The sequence below is a fragment of the Homo sapiens genome, chromosome 14 (genome assembly GCF_000001405.40).
Source record: "Homo sapiens chromosome 14, GRCh38.p14 Primary Assembly".
Taxonomy (NCBI): domain Eukaryota; kingdom Metazoa; phylum Chordata; class Mammalia; order Primates; family Hominidae; genus Homo; species Homo sapiens.
Genome location: NC_000014.9, coordinates 62,507,721 through 62,529,860, shown reverse-complemented (window position 1 = coordinate 62,529,860; position 22,140 = coordinate 62,507,721).

Sequence of the window (22,140 nt, the reverse complement as noted above, 5' to 3'; positions counted from 1 at the left end):
TTCACATGGGATGTGATTTATACTGAGTAATGCTTGCTGAAGAAATGAATAATGACTCAGTCAGATCATGGGCTGAACATATTGATCTTACCTGCCTTCTGATAAGTTTTCTTCTCCATTCCCAGACAGAAACGTTACCATTTTTCTTTTCTTTCTTTTTTCTTAAAAATTTGTTTTAGTGTACCTTGGGTGTAACCCAAGTGTACCTGGTCTAGTGTACCTGGTGTTTGGGCAGAGACTATAGACAAATGAATAAACTGGTGCTGTGATTAACAAAATGGACAGAAGGCTAAGAGAAGCTGGTAATAATGTATTTTTATGTAATTACAACTATTAAGATTGATCAGTGTCTTCTGTTTGATAATACTGAGATCAGAGGCCAAACTACACAACATTGTAGACCATATGAGCTGAAGAATTTGAGTATGAGCCAAGAGTATTTTAGACTCAGATAACTTGTAAGAGATAAAGTTTACTCAAAATGCCAGTTCCTCTGATTCTAACTACTTAGAGAGTGGGAGAGAAAGTCAGGGTCATAGAAGACTTTAGTTATCCTTTAAATTAAATGCATAGGCAGATCTGCTTCTGATCAACTGCATTAGGTTATTAACCAGGAAAAGAAATGTGTGCTAATAAAAAGTCAAGGCAAGAATCTTCATTTTAAATGCATACTCTATAATGTGTATACATTTTTATATATATGTGTGTGTGTGTATATATATACACACATATATACCTATATGTACACACACTTACACATATATGTACACACACATATATACATATATATGTATAATATAACCTGAAACTCTGGTCAGCTTTTTAAATAAGACTGATTAGGAAAAAAAAACCCAAAATTTTGTCTTGATGACCTAGTGTGGTTGTAAATGTTTGTATTTGCATGTTGATGTTGTGTATTTCCTTAAGCAGAAGTCAGACCAAGATCATGGAAAATTTCACAGTCCTCAAGATTGTACTTACAGCCTGTTAATATTAAGTAGCCACAATTTCCCCCTCTAAACCATGATAATGAACACGTGACTCCATTGAGATGTTTGAGCTGAGTGATATAATGAAATGTCTTCAATTTCAGGTCCTTTATGTGGGGGCAAAGAAGTCACTTGTGCAGTGGGAAAACTCTTCAGACCAGAAGGTCAATGTTGTTCACTCAAAGGTCATATCATTTAATATAACTGATATTAAATAGCTTGCATTTTAACAGGCAATGGTCAGAAACAGGGACTAACTGAGCAGAACAGACAAAATGTAGATGAGAGGAAAGAGGTTTGGCCAGCCCCTAGAAGTTGCAACTTGCTCCTGTTCCAGCTCCAACCATTGTCTGACAGCAGCTTCATGAGAGACCATGAGTCAGAGCTACCCAGTTTAGTCTCTTTGAAATTTCTTATCCCTGAAATTGAGACAGTAACGTGATTGTTGATGTTTTAAAACCACTAAGTCTAGGGGTGATTTGTTACACAGCATTAAACAACCAGAATGGTCATAAATCAAATAATGGTAATGAAGAAATCAAATAATTTTATTTGTTGCTCACTAAAATGCAAAAGTAATAACAGCATATTTAATTAAGAAAATATCGATTTTATTATACCTATCTTAAATTAGACATGGTAATTATCTAATTTTTTATTTTTCACAAATTGCCAGCTAGAAATATTGTGGGCTTTCCCTTCTCTGTTTTAATCTAAAAGTTATAAATTTTATTGGCACCTTGGTAGAAATGTGCAAACCATGGTAGATATGCACATATGTATTTTTTTAAAGTAGATTTTATTTTTTTGAGTAGCTTTTGGTTCACAGAAAAATTAAAAGGTACAGAGATTTCCCATGTACTCCCTGGCCACCCCTCTCTCCCAGTGTTATAACTTCTTTTATCATCATCATACTATTCCCTCCCCCCAGCATAGTGGTGCATTCATTACAATCAATGGACCTACATTGACACATCATTATCACCCAAAGTCCCTAGTTTACACGAGGGTTCACTCTTGGTGTTACACATTCTGTGGGTTTGGACAAATGTGTAATGTTATGTATCCACCATTACAGTATCATACAGAGTAGTTTCACTGTCCTAAAAGTTCTCTATGTTCTGCCTATTCATCCCTTCTTATTCTCTAACCCCTGGCACCACTGATTTTTCTACTGTCTCCATGGTTTTGCCTTTTCCAGAATGTCATATGGTTGGAATAATAAAGCATGTTGCCTTTTCAGATGGCTTTTACTTAGTAAGATACATTTAATATTCCTCCATGTCTTTCTATGGTTTGATAGTTCATTTTTTTAGCAATAAATAATATTCCAGTGTTTGGATGTATCACAGCTTATTCATTCACCTACTGAAAGACTTCTTGGTTGTTTCCAAGTTTTGGCAATTATGAATAAAGCTGCTGATAGCTTATAGCTTTCTTTGTGATTAGTTGACCAAAATTTTCAACTTTTTTGGGTAAATAAATACCAAGGAACACAATGGCTGAATCATGTAATAAGATGTTTAGTTATGTTTAGTTTTGTAGGAACTCTCAAACTGTCTTTCATTGCAGCTGTACTATTTTGTATTCCCACCAGTGGTGGATGAGAGTTCCTGTTGTTCTACAATGTCAACAGAATTTGGTATTTTCAATGTTCTGGATTTCGGCCATTTTTTAATAACTTTTAAGTTCAGGAGTACATAGGTAGGTTTGTTACTTAGGTAAACTTGCGTCATGGGGGTTTGTTGTACAGATTACTTAATCACCCAGCTATTAAGCCTAGTACCCATTAGTTATGTTTTCTGATCTTCTCCCTCCTTCCACCCTCCATCCTCTGATAAGCCCAAGTGTGTGTGGTTCTTCTCTATGTGTCCATGTGTTCTCATCATTTAGCTCCCACTAATAAGCGAAAACACGTGGTATTTGGTTTTCTGTTTCTGCATTAGTTTACTATAGATAATAGCCTCCAGCTCCATCCATGTCCCTGCAAAGGACATGATCTCATTCTTTTTTATGGCTGCATAATATTCTATTGTGTATATGCACCACATTTTCTTTATCCAGTCTATCATGGATGGGCATACAGGTTGATTCCTCATCTTTGCTGTTGTGAATAGTACTACAATGAACATCCAAGTGCATGTGTCTTTATGATAGAATGATTTATATTCTTCTGGGTATATATCCAGTAATGAGATTGCTCAGTTGAATGATATTTTTGTCTTTAGATCTCGGAGGAATTGCCACACTGCCTTCCATGACAGTTGAACTAATTTACACTCCCACCAACAGTGTATAAGCGCCCCTTTTTCTCAACAACCTCGCCTGCATACATTATGTTTTTGGATTTTTTAAATTATTATTATACTTTAAGTTCTAGAGTACATGTTCACAACGTGCAGATTTGCTACATATGTATACATGTGCCATGTTGGTGTGCCGCACCCATTAAATCATCATTTACGTTAGGTATATCTCCTAATGCTATCCCTCCCCATCCCCCCACCCCACAACAGGCCCCGGTGTGTGATGTTCCCCTTCCTGTGTCCAAGGGTTCTCATTGTTCAATTCCCACCTATGAATGAGAACATGCGGTGTTTGGTTTTTTGTCCTTGTGACAGTTTGCTGAGAATGATGGTTTCCAGCTTCATCTATGTCCCTACAAAGGTCATGAACTCATCATTTTTTATGGCTGCATAGTATTCCATGGTGTATATGTGCCACATTTTCTTAATCCAGTCTACCATCCATGGACATTTGGGTTGGTTCCAAGTCTTTGCTGTTGTGAATAGTGCCGCAATAAACATGCTGTTTATGTGCATGTGTCTTTATAGCAGCATGATTTATAATCCTTTGGGTATATACCCAGTAATGGGATGGCTGGGTCAAATGGTATTTCTAGTTCTAGATCCTTGAGGAATCGCCACGCTGTCTTCCACAATGGATGAACTAGTTTACAGTCCCACCAACAGTGTAAAAGTGTTCCTATTTCTCCACATCCTCTCCAGCACCTGTTGTTTCCTGACTTTTTAATGATTGCCACTCTAACTGGCGTGAGATGGTATCTCACTGTGGTTTTGATATGCATTTCTCTGATGGCCAGTGATGGTGAGCATTTTTTATGTGTCTGTTGGCTGCATAAATGTCTTCTTTTGAGAAGCGTCTGTTCATATCCTTTGCCTACTTGTTGATGGGGTTGTTTTTTTCTTGTACATTTGTTTGAGTTCTTTGTAGATTCTGGATATTAGCCCTTTGTCAGATGAGTAGATTGCAAAAATTTTCTCCCATTCTGTAGGTTGCCTTTCACTCTGATGGTAGTTTCTTTTGCTGTGCAGAAGCTCTTTAGTTTAATTAGATCCCATTTGTCAATTTTGGCTTCTGTTGCCATTGCTTTTGGTGTTTCAGACATGAAGTCCTTGCCCATGCCTATGTCCTGAATGGTATTGCCTAGGTTTTCGTCTAGGGTTTTTATGATTTTAGGTCTAACATTTAAGTTTTGAATCCATCTTGAATTGATTTTTGTATAAGGTGTAAGGAAGGGATCCAGTTTCAGCTTTCTACATATGGCTAGCCAGTTTTTCCAGCACCATTTGTTAAATAGAGAATCCGTTCCCCATTTCTTGTTTTTGTCAGGTTTGTCAAAGATCAGATGGTTGTAGATGTGTAGTATTATTTCTGAGGGCTCTGTTCTGTTCCGTTGGTCTATATCTCTGTTTCGGTACCAGTACCGTGCTGTTTTGGTTACTGTAGGCTTGTAGTAGAGTTTGAAGTCAGGTAGCGTGATGCCTCCAGCTTTGTTCTTTTGGCTTAGGATTGACTTGGCAATGCGGGCTCTTTTTTGGTTCCATATGAACTTTCAAGTAGTTTTTTCCAATTCTGTGAAGAAAGTCATTGGTAGCTTGATGGGGATGGCATTGAATCTATAAATTACCTTGGGCAGTATGGCCATTTTCATGATATTGATTCTTCCTATTCATGGGCATGGAATGTGCTTCCATTTGTTTGTGTCCTCTTTTATTTTGTTGAGCAGTGGTTTGTAGTTCTCCTCGAAGAGGTCCTTCACTACCCTTGTATGTTGGATTCCTAGGTATTTTATTCTGTTTGAAGCCATTGTGAATGGGAGTTCACTCATGATTTGACTCTCTGTTTGTCTGTTATTGGTGCATAAGAATGCTTGTGATTTTTGCACATTGATTTTGTATCCTGAGACTTCGCTGAATTTGCTTATCGGCTTAAGGAGATTTTGGGCTGAGATGATGGGGTTTTCTAGATATACAATCATGTCTCTGCAAACAGGGGCAATTTGAATTCCTCTTCTCCTAATTGAATACCCTTTATTTCTTTCTCCTGCCTGATTGCGCTGGCCAGAGCTTCTAACACTATGTTGAATAGGAGTGGTGGTGAAAGAGGGCATTCCTGTCTTGTGCCAGTTTTCAAAGGGAATGCTTCCAGTTTTTGCCCATTCAGTATGATATTGGCTGTGGGTTTGTCATGAATAACTCTTATGATTTTGAGATATGTCCCATCTATACCTAATTTATTGAGAGTTTTTAGCATGAAGGGCTGTTGAATTTTTTCAAAGGCCTTTTCTGCAGCTATTGAGATAATCATGTGGTTTTTGTCTTTGGGTCTGTTTATATGCTGGATTATGTTTATTGATTTGTGTATATTGAACCAGCCTTGCATCCCAGGGATGAAGCCCACTTGATCATGGTGGATAAGCTTTTTGATGTGCTGCTGGATTCAGTTTGCCAGTATTTTATTGAGGATTTTTGCATTGATGTTCATCAAGGATATTGGTCTAAAATTCTCTTTTTTTGTTGTGTCTCTGCCAGGCTTTGGCATCAGGATGATGCTGGCCTCATAAAATGAGTTAGGGAGGATTCCCTCTCTTTCTATTGATTGGAATAGTTTCAGAAGGAATGGTACCAGCTCCTCCTTGGACCTCTGGTAGCATTCGGCTGTGAATCTCTCTGGTCCTGGACTTTTTTTGGTTGGTAGGCTATTAATTATTGTCTCAGTTTCAGAGCCTGTTATTGGTCTATTCAGGGATTCAACTTCTTCCTGATTTAGTCTTGGGAGGGTGTATGTGTCCAGGAATTTATCCATTTCTTCTGGATTTTCTAGTTTGAGTAGACATGTTTATAGTATTCTCTGATGGTAGTTTGTATTTCTGTGGGATTGCTGGTGTTATCCCCTTTATCATTTCTTATTGTGTCCATTGGATTCTTCTCTCTTTTCTTATTAGTCTTGCTAGCAGTCTATCAATTTTGTTGATCTTTTCTAAAACACAGCTCTTTGGATTCATTGATTTTTTGAAGGGTTTTTTGTGTCTCTATTTCCTTCAGTTCTGCTCTGATCTTAGTTATTTCTTGCCTTCTGCTAGCTTTTGAATGTGTTTGCTCTTGCTTCTCTAGTTCTTTTAATTGTGATGTTAGGGTGTCCATTTTAGATCTTTCCTGCTTTCTCTTGTGGTCATTTAGTGCTATAAATTTCCCTCTATGCACTGCTTTAAATGTGTCCCAGAGATTCTGGTATGTTGTGTCTTTGTTCTCATTGATTTCAAAGAACATCTTTATTTCTGCCTTCATTTCGTTATGTAACCAGTAGTCATTCAGGAGCAGGTTGTTCAGTTTCCATGTAGTTGAGTGGTTTTGAGTGAATTTCTTAATCCTGAGTTCTAGTTTGATTGCACTGTGGTCTGAGAGATAGTTTGTTATAATTTCTGTTCTTTTACATTTCCTGAGGAGTGCCTTACTTCCAACTCTGTGGTCAATTTTTGAATAAGTGTGTTGTGGTGCTCAGAAGAATGTATATTCTGTTGATTCGGGGTGGAGAGTTCTGTAGATGTCTATTAGGTCTGCTTGGTGCAGAGCTGAGTTCAATTCCTGGATATCCTTGTTAACTTTCTGTCTTGTTGATCTGTCTAATGTTGACAGTGGGGTGTTAAAGCCTCCCATTATTATTGTGTGGGAGTCTAAGTCTCTTTGTAGGTCTCTAAGGACTTGCTTTATGAATCTGGGTGCTCCTGTATTGGGTGCATATATATTTAGGATAGTAAGTTCTTCTTGTTGAATTGATCTCTTTACCATTATGTAATGGCCTTCTTTGTCTCTTTTGATCTTTGTTTAAAGTCTGTTTTATCAGAGACTAGGATTGCAACCTCTGCCTTTTTTGGTTTTCCATTTGCTTGGTAGATCTTCCTCCATCCCTTTATTTTGAGCCTATGTGTGTCTCTGCACGTGAGATGGGTTTGCTGAATACAGCACACTGATGGGTCTTGACTCTATCCAATTTGCCAGTCTGTGTCTTTTAATTGGAGCATTTAGCCCATTTACATTTAAGGTTAGTATTGTTATGTGTGAATTTGATACTGTCATTATGATGTTAGCTGGTTTGATCTTCCATCACTGATAACCTTTCTTCCAGTTGATCGAATCGGCTACTGAAGCTTGTGCATTCATCACATAGTTCTCGTGCTGTGGTTTTCAGCTCCATGAGTTCCTTTAAGGACTTCTCTGCATTGGTTATTCTAGTTAGCCATTCGTCTAATCTTTTTTCACGGTTTTTAACTTCTTTGCCATGGGTTTGAATTTCCTCCTTTAGCTCAGAGAAGCCTTCTTTTCTCAACTCATCAAAGTCATTCTCTGTCCAGCTTTGTTCCATTGCTGGTGAGGAGCTGCATTCCTTTGGAGGAGGAGAGGCACTCTGATTTTAAGAATTTTCAGTTTTTCTGCTCTGTTTTTTCCCCATCTTTGTGGTTTTATCTACCTTTGGTCTTTGGTGATGGTGATGTACAGATGGGGTTTTGGTGTGGATGTCCTTCCTGTTTGTTAGTTTTCCTTCTCACTGTCAGGACCCTCAGCTGCAGGTCTGTTGGCATTTGCTGGAGGTCCAATCCAGACCCTGTTTGCCCGGATTTCAGCAGTGGAGGCTGCAGAACAGCGGATATTGCTGAACAGCATATGTCACTGCCTGATCATTCCTCTGGAAGTTTTGTCTCAGAGGGGTACCCGGCCGTGTGAAGTGTCAGTCTGCCCCTACTGTGGGGTTCCTCCCAGACAGGCTACTCGGGGGTCAGGGACCCACTTAAGAAGGCAGTCAGTCCGTTCTCAGATCTCAAACTCCGTGCTGGGAGAACCACTACTCTCTTCAAAGCTGTCAGACAGGGACATTTAAGTCTGCAGAGGTTTCTGCTGCCTTTTGTTTGGCTATGCCCTGCCCCCAGAGGTGGAGTCTATAGAGGCCAGCAGGCCTCCTTGAGCTGCGGTGGGCTCCATCCAGTTGGAGCTTCCCAGCTGCTTTGTTTACCTACTCAAGCCTCATCAATGGTGGGCACCCCTCCCCAAGCCTCGCTGCCGCCTTGCAGTTCGATCTCAGACTACTGTGCTAGCAATGAGTGAGGCTCCGTGGGCGTGGGACCCTCTGAGCCAGGCACTGGATATAATCTCCTGGTGTGCCATTTGCTAAGACCATTGGAAAAGCGCAGTATTAGGGTGGGAGTGACCCAATTTTCCAGATTCCGTCTGTCACAGCTTCGCTTGGTTAGGAAAGGGAATTCCCTGACCCTTTGGGCTTCCCAGGTGAGGCAATGCCTCACCCTGCTTCGGCTCATGCTCGATGCACTGCACCCACTGTCCTGCACCCACTGTCTGACAAGCCCCAGTGAGATGAACCCGGTACCTCAGTTGGAAATGCAGAAATCACCCATCTTCTGTGTCGCTCACACTGGGAGCTGTAGACTGGAGCTGTTCCTATTCAGCCATCTTGGAACTGCCCCTGGATTTTTTTTAGTAGCAATTCTGACTGGTGTGAGATAGTATCTCATTGTGGTTTTGATTTGCATTTCTCTAATGTTGAGATGTTGAGCTTTTTTACATGTGATTGTTGGCCGCATGTATGTCATCTTCTGAAAAGTGTCTGTTCATGTCTTTTGCCCACTTTTAAATGGGGTTGTTGGTTTTTTCTTGTAAATTAGTTTCAGTTCTTTATAGAAGCTGGATATTAGACCTTTGTCAGATGCATAGTTTGCAAAAATTTTCTCACATTTTGTAGGTTGTCTGTTGATACTTTCTCTTGCTGTGTAGAAGCTCTTAAGTTTAATTAGGTTGCATTTATCAATTTTTGGTTTTGTTGCAATTGCTTTTGGCGTCTTCTTCATGAAATCTTTGCCCATGCCTTTGTCCTGAATGGTGTTCCTAAGTTGTCTTCCAGGGTTTTTATAGCTTCGGGTTTTACAGTTAAGTCCGTTTATCTTGAGTTGATTTTTGTACTTGGTGTAAGGAAGGAGTCCAATGCCAATCTTCTGCATATGGCTAACCAGTTATCTCAGCACCATTAATTCAGTAGGGAATCCTTTCCCCATTGCTTGTTTTTGCCAGGTTTTTGCAGGTCACATAGTTGTTAGGTGTGTGGCCATATTTCTTGGTTCTCTATTCTGTTCCATTGGTCTGTGTGTCTGTTATTGTACCATACTATTTTGGTTATTGTAGCTCTGTAGTATAGCTTGAAGTTGGGTAGTGTGACGCCTCCAGGTTTTTTCTTTTTGCTTAGGATTGCCTTGGCTATTCACATTCATTTTTGGTTCCTATGAATTTTCAAATAGTTTTTTTTTTTCTAGTTTGATGAAGAGTCTCAATGACAGTTTAATGGGAAAAGCATCAAATCTATACACTGCTTTGGGCAGTATGGCCATTTTAACAATATCAGTTCTTCATATCTATGAGCATGGAATGTTTTTCCATTTATTTGTGTCATCTCTGATTTCTTTGAGCAGTGGTCTGCAGTTCTCCTTGTAGAGATCTTTCACTTCCAAGTTAGCTATACTCCTAGGTATTTTATTCTTTTGTGGCAATTATGAATGGGAGTTTGTTCGTGATTTGGCCCCTGACTTGGCTGTTGTCAGGGTATAGAAATGCTAGTGATTGTTGTATACTGATTTTTGTTTTCTGAGACTTTGCTAAAGTTATTTATCAGCTTACGAAACTTTTGGGCTGGAACTATGTACGGTGTTTTTATGTTGTCTGCGAACAAGGATAGTTTCACTTCTTCTCTCTTTATTTGGATGCCTTTTATTTCTTCCTCTTGCCTGACTGCCCTGGACAGAAATTCTAATACTATGTTAATAGGAATGGTGAGAGAAGACATCCTTTTCTCCTGTCAGTTTTAAAAGGGAATGCTTCCAGCTTTTGCCCATTTATTATGACTGTCCCTCAGTTTTCAGTTTTTTGTTTTTCAGGGACTGCCTCAGACTCTCAGTTTTCAGTTTCAGTTTTTTTGCATTTGCTGAAGACTGTTTTACTTCTAATTGTGTGGTTGATTTTAGAGTATGTGCCATGTGGTGATGAGAAGAATGTATATTCTGTTGGTTTTGGTGGAGATTTCTGTAGTTATCTATCAGGTCTCTTTGAGCCAGTGTTGAGTTCAGGTCCTGAATATCTTTGTTAATTTTCTGCCTCAATAATATGTCCAATATCGTGAGTCAGGTGTCAAAGTCTCTCAGCATTATTGTGTGGTAGTCTAAGTCTCTTTGAAGGTCTCTAAGAACTTGCCTTAGGAATCTGGGTGCCCCGTGTTGGGTGCATATATATTTAAAATAATTATATCTTCTTGTTGAGTTGAACCCTTTACCATTAGGTAATGCCCTTCTTTGTCTTGCTTTATGTTTGTTGGTTTGAAGTCTGTTTTGTCAGATAATAGGATTGCAACCTTTGCTTGTTTCTGTTTTCCATTTTCTTGGTAGACTTTTCTCCATTCCTTTATTTTGAACATATGTGTGTCACTGCACGTAAGATGGGTCTCTTCAAGACAGCATACCACTGGGTCTTGGTTCTTTATCCAGCTTGCCACTCTGTGTCTTTTAATTGGGACATTTAGCCCATTTACATTTAAGGTTAGTTTTGATATGTGTGAATTTGATCCTGTCATAATGATGCTGGAAGGTTTATTTTGAGGACTTGTTAATGCGGTTGCTTCATAGTGTCACTGGTCTGTGTACTTCAGAGTGTTTTTGTAGTGGCTAGTAATGGTCTTTCCTTTCCATATTTAGTGCCTCTTTCAGGAGCTACTGTAAGGCAGGTCTGGTGGTAAAAAAATACCCTCAGCCTTTGCTTGTCTGAAAAGGATCCTATTTTTCTTTTGCTTATGAAGGTTAGTTTGATTGGATGTGAAATTCTGGGTTGGAATGTTTTTAAGAATGTTGTTTATTGGCCCCCATCTCTTCTGGCTTTTAATGTTTCCACTAAGAGGTCTGCTGTTAGTCTGATGGGCTTCCCATTTCAGGTGACCTGGTGTTTCTCTCTAGCTGCCTTTAACATTTTTTCTTTCATTTTGATCTTGGTTAATCTGATGATTATGTGTCTTGGAGATGATCTTGCAGAGTGTCTTATTGGGGTTCTCCACACTTTCTGAATATAATGTTGGCCTCTCTAGGTTAGAAGTTCTCATGAATGATACATAGGATATACTTTAGTGCACTTCTTGCTTTCGAAATTTAGAGGATTGTGATGAAATATATTTAAAAAATATTTACAAGTAGGATCCTAATAGGAATGTCCTGAATTTCAAGTATATTGGAACTGAGATTCTGGAAAGTGAGAAATAGGCATACACAAGTGACTTTTACAAACGAGAAAGCTAAGGTTATGAAAGGATTGATGAGTCATGACTAATAATAGTTTATAAACAGTGAAAATAAAAATCAACAACCCTCAGTAACTTCAAAGCTTCATGTCTATCTATCCACTTCCCCAGAGGAAGATAAGAACAGAGATCAGATGGGTTCTCAGAAATACAGAGATGAAAAGAGATGCAAGTCTGGAAGAGTTGTGAGGTGGCCACGTTCTCCCTGGGGAAATAGGAAGTATGAACTTCTAGGCCAAAATGTATAGTGACCATGCTTCCTAAAATGTGTCTGCCCCATTTTGAAATGGTCAGATAGCAGATGATTTTGGTTCATCTTCCTGAGAGACAAATGGGAAGAGGCAAAAGAGAATTCCTGATGTGGCATTATTTTAGCAGGAACTATAAGACTCACTGTGTTGGATGTAACTGACAGTGTCAGCAGGAGTAGGGAGAATTTACAGTATTGGAGTGGGGTTGGGCAAGAGGTCCACAGAACTAGGGCAAGTGTGATGTTTTTGAGGTTAATATAAAGAAGGGGGAAGGAGGAGAATTTCTGAAACCCTTCATACTTTCATTGTCTGCCATTGAACAGAAAAGGCACTTGCAGTAAGGTAAAAGTGGAGAAGAGGCCCTTGAGTTGTAGCAGTGAATAGAAATGTTACCTTAAAAGAAGACAAAGGGAATTGAACAATGAGAAAACTTGGACACAGGGTGGGGAACATCACACACCAGGGCCTGTCATGGGGTTGGGGGAGCAGGGAGGTATAGCATTAGGAGATATACCTAATATAAATGTCAAGCTAATGGGTGCAGCACACCACCATGGCACCTGTATACATATGTAACAAACCTGCACATTGTGCACATGTACCCTGGAACTTAAAGTGTAATAATAATAAGACAAAGACAACAATACAACAAAGAAAAAGATTATTAAAGAGGAAGATGAAAACAGATAATTACAGGAGAGGGATTACTCACAATCCTTGATAATTTTGCTGGTTTAGGAAACTCCCCTAAAATGAGCATTTTTTTCTCCTTTCTTAACTGAACTTAGAGGAATGCACAAAAAGCCCATGGAAAAGACACAGGGGAAAGCTTGGGAAACCATCCTCTCAGATTATAGGTCCTTTAACATTAATATTCATAACTGTCCTTTAGCAACCTGACTAAAAACCAGTGAGGGAACTGGTGTGTGTGTGTGTGTGTGTGTGTGTATGTTTCCTTGATGGCTAGTTATTTTAGGTCTGCCATATTCTTTTTTTTTAATACTATTATTCTGTCTTACCTTGGATGTATATAGCAGTTTCTATCCAGAGATTTAAAAATATTATACAAGTCATCTTATTTGTCCTCAATCCTTGGAATTTTATGTCAGTGTTACAACTTCCTAGTCAGGTCCCATAATTGTAAAGATGTGTACTCATATGCATTTACCCAAGGGGATTTTAGATTTAGACAATAAGAACTATCAGGGACTATTTTTAGAAAATGCAGCATTTCTAAAAATAAGAATTCTGTTGACTGAAGGCCCCTGCATTGCTGAAAGCAGCCTTTGGAGCAGAAAGTCGATAATCCCTGAATGGAAAGGCCACACAGTGACATGAGGACTGACATTCTCTCCTGGGAGTTGGTAAGTGGAGCAGACAGCTTCAAAGTTAAAGGCAGATTCTGATCTATCTTTCTGTAATGATTGTATAAGCAAGTGGGTCTATTACTTTTAGGATGGTATCTAAAACTAGGTGTACATCATAATCATGTTCCAATTAGTAAGAAGGAAACTAGATTTGATGGAAAGTTTGGAGCTGAGTATCCAGGTTTTAACTCTTACCAGCCTCCCACAACCACCTTTTTTAACAAAGGGACAGAGGTAGGAAAACATGAACCTTAGAGTTGTGACAAGGAACATGAATTGCTAGAGAATAAGATGAAGGAGGAGAGGATGCATGGCAAATGAGGATAGCAACGTAAGCAGACTACGTATGATGTGGTGAAAATTATAAGTTTTATTCTGAAGGGTAAGTTTCTAAAGCGTTTTCAGCCAGGAGGTTCTGGTCTACCCTTTGGAACCATAGCAATTACAGTAATCCTGAAGGACAACTAACAGACCCCCTGTCCAACCCATGAACATCCTTATACTTCTCCTACAAAATACACACAAATATCCACCTCCATCCCTTAAGTAAGTCCTTCTCTTGGCTCAGTAGGTTCAGTTCACAAAATTATTCTTCACTGACATTGTTTGGAATTCCTTTCCTCTCCCAGATTTCATTCCTTGAGTAAAAACTAAACTTTGAGCCTCAGCATGCATATTGGCTTCCTCTAATGTGGGCCAACTTGGGACCATGTTCTCTTTGGAGTCATCCACTGAATGGCAGAGCCTGTGGTCTCACCACCTGTGTTGCAACTGCCTATAGACCAGTTGTATGATTAGACCACAATCTTCAATGAGGAAACACATATTTTTCCTGTGGTGTTTTTGGTCATATTTATGGAGTTTCTGAAGGGCAGTAGAAATTCCAACCAAGCACAGCCCGACCTCTGTGGAGACAAATGAATTGTTGAAATTCATCATTAATCCACCAAGGTTCCCCACATTATGGTTAAAGTTGACACAGAATTTTGAATTGAAATTTACAGAACATTTTCCAAAAGGTTTTACCTGGATAGGGCACACCTCAGTGTAATTCCTTTCTAGTGGCTCAGTACTACCAGATTGAAGGATTGCTGCATCTCGTTTGGTGATGCTTTTTATTTCCTATTACTCCCAACTTCATACTTGAAGCACTGAGAATTACAAGTCAAGTATGTTGAAGAAGACTTTTAGTTTCTTTTCATTTCTGTATTCAATTTTAAAAATTCTTTCATAAACTTAATGGATGTCATTAACTCAATTAACATGGCTCAAATACACTGCTCAGTCCCTGTGGAAATCAGATACAAGACCATTTTTTTTTATTACATAGAATCTGACCAACGCAATCTTAAAATTATAGAAAAATTTAAGAAGTACAGAGCTATTGCAATAGTAGGAATATGTGAAAAAATTTATAGCACAACCCTGGTGAAGAAAGAAGGCATCCATGATTTTTTAATGTTGGCGTACCGCCATCCAGTCTTGTAACAAGTTTTGTAAAGAGCTTGGTTGTCACATTGCTGTTATGTTACAGGTCCTGGCAGAGCTTCAGTGCTTGTTGTCCTAGTATTAACTGAAGGTAAAATGAAATATACAGATCTATGTACTACAGTTCATAAGACAAAAGTGGTGTGGAGCTTTTAACAGCAAGCAACTTTTGTATTTGGAGAAAAATCATTCTAAAACGTGGCTGTGCTTCAAATATTCCAAAGGCCATAGAAATAACTGTTATAGTCAATAATACTGGGGTGCATGATGCTATGACGTTAGAAACAGAACTTGAGACAAGATCTAACTGGCTATTCATTTTAGCCAACATAGTGATACTGATGAGTAAGTCCAATGAAGCTTCCATGGGAGTATTAAAAAGAAGTTTTACCATGTCACAAGCTTTACACACTTGTAATCTCTATCGGGTTACATCAACATATTTGGATACTTAGCAAAAGATTCTTGCTGTTTGGCATTTAAAATGTATATTTCCCCTATGTTTTCTGCTAGGAGTTTTATAGTTTCAGATAGTAAAGCTTCTTGACTTTGGTCTTGGGAATTATTTCTGGATACGACACAAAAAGCACAGGCAACAAAACAAAACAGGCAAGTGTGACTATGTATATGTAAAAAGCTTCTGCACAGCAAAGGAAACAAAAGAGTAAAAGAGTAACTTATAAAATGGTGGAATGAGGGTTAATACTCAAAAAATATAAGAAACTCCTGTAACTCAATGGGAAAAAAAAACCCCAAATAACCCATCTTAAAAATGGGCAGAGGACCTGAATAGACATTTCTACAAAGAAGACATAACAATGGACAACAGATATATGAAAAGGTGCTCAACATCACTAATCATCAAAAAGTGCATATCAAAACCATGATGTGATGTCACCAATCAGGATGGCTATTATAAAAAACAAAAGAATTGGAGAGGATGTGGAAAAATCAGAACACTTGTACATTGTTGGTGGGAATATAAAATGGTATAGCCACTATGGAAAACAGTACAGAGATTTGTCAAAAATACAAATAAAACTAACATATGATCCAATAATCCCACTTTGGAGTATATATATCCAAAGAAGTTGAAATTATGATCTTGAAGCAGTATCTGCACTTCCATGTTCATTGCAGCATTATTCACAATTGTCAAAATGTGGAAACAACCCAAACATCTATTGATAGATAATAAATAAAGAAAATACGGTCCAGGTGTGCTGGCTCATGCTTGTAATCCCAGCACTTTGGAAGCCCAAGGCAGGAGGATGGTTGAGGCCAGGAGTTCGAGACTTGCCTGGGCAACATAGTCAGCCCTATTCTCTACAGAAAATAAAAACTACTGGCTGGGCATGGTGGCATGCACGCCCAACTTCTTGGCAGACTGAGGCAATAGGATCACTTAAAACCAAGAGATTGAGGTTGCAGTGAGCTATAATCACACCACTACAATACTCCAGCCTGGATGACAGAGCAAGATCCTGTCTCTCTCTTAAAAAAAAAAAAAAGAAAAGAAAAAAGGAAACATGATATATACTGGTTTGAGTCATAATGTCTAGAGACACAATCCTAAACACCGTAACCCCTGAAGTCTAAAATCACAGAATAGTTGCATCATGTTAGGTGGAGTTATTATCTTGTTATTTTCTTTATTTGGAGTAAGTATTGTTTAAGGACATGCATATGGGTGCCAAGCTGATAAGGGATGTACTGTGAACCTCTCTCCAAATACAAGTGTAGTGATGTGGTTTGGCTGTGTCCCCACCCAAATCTCATCTCAAATTCCCCCATGTTGTGGGAGGAACACGGTGGAAGGTGGTTGAATCATGGGGGCAGGTCTTTCCCGTGCTGTTCTCGTGATAGTGAATGAGTCTCACGAGATCTGACGGTTTTATAAACGAGAGTTTCCATGCACAAGCTCTCTTGTCTGCTGCCATGTGATACATGTCTTTCACCTTCCACCATGACTGTCAGTCCTCCCCAGCCACATGGAACTGTAAGTCCATTAAACCTCTTCCTTTTGTAAATTGCCGAGTCTGGGGTATATCTTTATCAGCAGTGTGAAAACAGACTAATACACGCAGTGAGTATTTTGAAGACTAAAGAAGTGAAAATGCAGGAAAAAGATTCAATAAATCTCCTATGCCGAATTATTCGATTGTGTAAAACTTCTGCCCCTTCAAACACTGCAGCATGCTTGCCTGCAAACGCCGCCCTTTGTTGGAGAATACAAATAATTTAACAAGCTCAAAGAGCTTCTTAACACTTGCTGATATTGATGTTCCTCTAGTGTTATAAAACACATTAAATGGTAAACTATTTTTTATTATGAATTTTACTACTGAAGAAGATACACTACTTATATAATCCACTAAATCTAACAGAAAAACTAGCACATGTTTCATTTTGGCTAAAATGGATGACACTTGCAAAACTGTCCCCACTATTTTTATTAACTATATACAATTCATGCCCTTGTTGGATCTGAAGATTCTAAAATAATCTCACTTATGTATTAATGACTGGAAAAAGTAATGTACCTTATAAATGCTTATTTGAAGATCTGGTGGACTTTGCAGAGGAAAATAGATTTCAATTAAATCCTGAAACCATGACAGATTTAGAATTACATGTAATCAAGTCTTCTAAAAGTGAATTTCAAGATGTTACAAATGAAGTTTTTTTTCCATTTAGACCCAATGCCTTTGGTGGGAAATTCGGATGAGTGAATTGGTTATGCAACATGGCAACAATGAAAACTTCAGTTTAAAATGTGTTATTTGCCTTCATGGGCATTTCTTCCAGCTAATGACATTCCGAGAGCTTTTACTTAAAGCCACATTTGCCTCAAGAAGCCAGTGAAGTTACTTCCTGGTTCAAAAGCAATTATGTGCACAGTAGGGTAAGAAGACACCTAGTAGTTCTGTTTGATCACCGGAATTGTTTTTGCCAAATCTGTAATCTGTCTGAGTGCATGTGAAATATGTTATCATGAACTGTGGTCACCACACAGTGCAATAGATCATTAAAACTTATTTCTCAAGTCTACCCGAAACTTTATATCCTTTGGTCAACACTTTTGTTTTCTCTATCCCTCCCTTTTTCCCCCTAGCCTCTGCTATCACCTCTCTACTGTCTCTATGAGATTCTTTTTAAGACTCAACATGTGAGTGAGATCATACAGTATTTGTCTTTGGTTTATTTCACTTAACATAAGGTCCATCTATGTTGTCACTAATGATAGAATGTCCTAAGGCTGAATATTATTTCATTGTGTATATAAGACTACATTTTCTTTATCCATTACTCCACTGAGGGATACTTAGTTGCTTCTATGTCTTGGTTATTGTGAATAATGCTAATAATCACAATAATTCCTTTGGATATATACCCAAAAGTGGGATTCCTGGATCATATAGTAGTTCTATATTTAGTTTATTGAGGAAATTTAATACTATTCTCCAAAATGGGTGTACTAGTTTACATTCCCTCCAACAGTGCACAAGGGTTCCTTTTTTCCCACATCCTTGCCAATACTTGTGATTCACTCATCTTTTTAATAAGAGTGATTCTAACAAGTGTGACATGATATTTCATTGTGGTTTTAATGTACATTTTCCTGATTGGAGATATTGAGCATTTTTTCATATATATGTTGGCTATTTATATAGCTTCTTTTGAGAATTATTTGCTCAGATCCTTTGCTCATATTTTAATGAAGTTATTTGTTTTCTTGCTATTGAGTTGAGTTCCTTGTATATTCTGGCTGTTAGCCCCTTTTTAGATGCATCATTTGCAAATATTTCCTCCCAATCAGTTAATTATCTTCACACTCTGTTTATTGTTTTCTTTGCTGTATAGAGTCTTTCTAGTTTGGTGCAATCTCATTTGTGTACTTTTTGCATTTTTGTCTGTGCTTTTGGAGTCTTATCCGAACAAAATCATTGTCCAGACCAGTGCCATGGAGCTTTTCCCCTATGTTGTCTTCTGAGAACATTACAGTTTCAGGACTTACGTTTAAGGCATCTATCTATTTTCAGATAATTTTTGCATGTGGCATAAGATAAAAGTTTAATTTCATTCTCCTGCATGTGGATATTCAGTTTGGCTAACACAGTTTATTAAAGACTGTCCTATCCCAATTGTTCTTGGCATCTTTGTTGAAAATCAACTAACCATAAATACTTGAGTTAATTTCTAGGCTGTCTCACCCATGCCGTTGGCTGATATATCTGTTTTTCTGGCAGTACCATGCTCTTTTGATTGCAATAGCTTCCACAATATATTTTGAAACCAGGGAGTATGAGGTCTCCAGCCTCGTTTTTGCTTAAGATTGCAAATTTTGCATATTTGGTGTCTTGCAGTTCTATATGAATTTTAGAATTTTTTTTTGAAAAATGACATTGGAATTATGATGGAGATTGCATTGAATCTGTAGATCATTTTGTGTAGTATGGGCATTTTAACAGAATTAATTCTTCCAGTCCATAAACATAGGATATACCTCCATTTGTTTGTGTCTCCTTCAGTCTCTTTTATCAGTGTTTTACAGTTTGGGGCATAGAGGTATTTCACGTCCTGGATAAATTTATTTCCAAGTATTTTAATTTTTTTGTTACTATTGTAAATCAGACTGTTTTCTCAATTTCTTTTCCAGATAGTTTGCTGTTAGTGTATAGAAAAGCTACTGGTTTTGTATGTTGATTTGGTATCCTGAATAATTTTTACTGAATTCATTTATTAGTTCTAACTAATATACTTCCTGGATTGGGGTGATTCTTCCTTTTTTTTTTTTTTTTTTTTTTCTTAGTTGAGGCAGAGTCTTGCTCTGTCTCCCAGGCTGGAGTGCAGTGGTGTGATCTTGGCTCACTGCTACCTCTGCCTCAGCTTATGAGAGTAGCTGGGATTACAAGCACCTGCCACCATAGCCTGCTAATTTTTGTAGTTTTAGTAGACACAGGGTTTCACCATATTGGCCAGGCTGGTCTCAAACTCCTGACCTCAAGTGGTCTGCCCACCTCAGCCTCCCAAAGTGCTGGGATAACAGGCATGAACCACTATGCCCAGCCTGGATTGGGATTTCTATTTCCTTCTTCTAATGCAGGCAGTTTTCTGCCATTGTTTGTTTCTCTTTTCCTTCTGCTACCCTAATAATGTGATAATATTCTGCTTGATGGTATCATATAAGTTTCTTAGGCTGTCTTCACTCTTTTTTCACTTTTCTCCTCAAGCACAGAGATTAAAAGCCAGGAGCTCCAGCAGGGACTGTAAAATTTGGGAAAAAGCTGGGGTTTCCTTCCCATGCATAAGATTGTGTGCTCAGTGTGGAGTTAGCGAGTGTATCTCCACTTTTCCTATGTGTTTTAATTTGTATAATTTTTCATTTGTCCATTGTATGGGAGTCTTTCAACTCAATTCCAGCTTTCTCTAGGAGAGAATTGATCAGTGTGTAGGTGTTCACTTGGTGTGTCTTTGGGAGGTGGGATATTCAGGAGCCTCCTATTTCTCCATTTTGCTGATGTCCTTCCTGTCTGATAATTTTTGATGACATTTATTGTGAATTTTACTTCTTTGGGCATTGCATGTTTTTGTCTTCCTATAACTTTTCTTGAGCTTTGCTCTAGAATGTACTTAATTAACTTGTGAACACTTTGATCTTTTCAGCCTTAAAGACTTGTTAGGTTGAAACCATAGCATTGTTTCACCTAGAGCTAATTATTACCAGTACTGAGGCAAGATACTTCTGACTGCTTCACCTAATGTCCTACAAAACCTGATACTTTCCTGACTGGCTCCAGAAATAGGAACTATTCATGGTTTTTCTTATCAGAAAAACCACATTCTGTTGCCTTTAATCCTTTCATTTGGTTCTTTCCCAGTCTCAGGCAATTTCCTTATCTGAATATGCTAATCAATACTCAGCTGCAAAATTGAGGGTGACCTTCAGATCTCTGTACTGCTTTTCCTTTCTGGTAGTCTTCCCTGTGAGCTGTAGCTGATTTAGTTTTCTTGATTCTCAGCTCCACTTTAATTCAAGTTCTTCAGGTAAAGTGACCAACTCTTCCTGTTATCATGGGATTTGGGTGGAAGGGGATTGTCAGATTCAGAACTTTGACTTTTAAGATGGAAAAGTCCAGACAAACTGGAACGAGCTGGTCATCTTACTGCAAAACTCTGCCTTGGTTCTGCCTCCTTTTGGTGGTGCAGTCTTGGAAACTCTCTCAAAACTGTCAACTGGAGGAACTATAGGGCTCAGCTACTTGTTTCCAGTGTCTTAGAAATCACTGTTCTTCATTGCTTGATAACCAGCGTCTTAAACCATTGTCTCATATATGTTGTCTGCTTATTATATTTTCCCCCTTTAATTATTTCAAGGGGGATGATGAATCTTACTCAATTTTGGCTGGAGAAAATAATGCTCATTCGATTTTGATTCTACTCTATCATTGTTCTTCCCTACCGCTTTCCTGAAAGTGCTCTAATCAAAGTTACCAGCCAGTTGTAAACTTCAAAATCCAGCGGTCAGTTCTCAAGTGCCATTTTACTTTACCAAATAGCCACAGTTAATGTTTGCTTACTAATTTTCTTTAAAACACCTTTTTTCACTTGGCTACCAGGATATAATTTTCTTCATTTCCCTTTAACAAGTAAGTCTTTCTTAGTTCCCTTTGCTGGAATTGCCTCATGTTCTCAGCCTCTAAATGTTAGTCCTAGGACATCTTTTCTTGTCTCTTTATACTCATTCCCCAGGTGATTTCATCAAGCCTCATGGTTTTATGTATTTTTGTATACTAACTCCTAATTTATAACTCTAGCTCTCCAAAGCTGTATACTCAGCTGCCTACTCAAATTTTACACATGGAGAAGGCATCTGAAACTCAATATTTCCACAACTGAACTCTAAATTTTCCTCTAGTGTCTGAACATGCTGCTTTCAGATCCAGATGTTTCTTAGTAAATTGCAACTCTGTTCTTTTGATTGCTTATGCTAAACCACAGCATCATCTTTGACTATTTTTTTCTACATACCTAATACATCAGCAAATCTAGGTAGTTTAGCTTCTTGCCTTCACCTGCTTCCATCCTAATTCAAGTCATTCTCTCTCACTTGGATTACTGGAAGAGCCAGTCTCTCTGCTCCTATACTCCTGAACTCCTAGAACATATTTTTCAAATGGTCTCTAAATTATTAGTTTCAAAATGTGAACTAGATTGAGTTACTACTTTGCATAAAATGCTGCAGTGCTTCCTATCCCACTTCAATTAAGATACAGTCTTTGCTTTGACCTTCAAGGGACTACATAACATGACATAACCAAATGGAACTAGGGCTACCACCATTCTCTTTAGTCGATATACAATGACCTCTTTTGCTTCAAATATGAAAATCCCACTCCTATC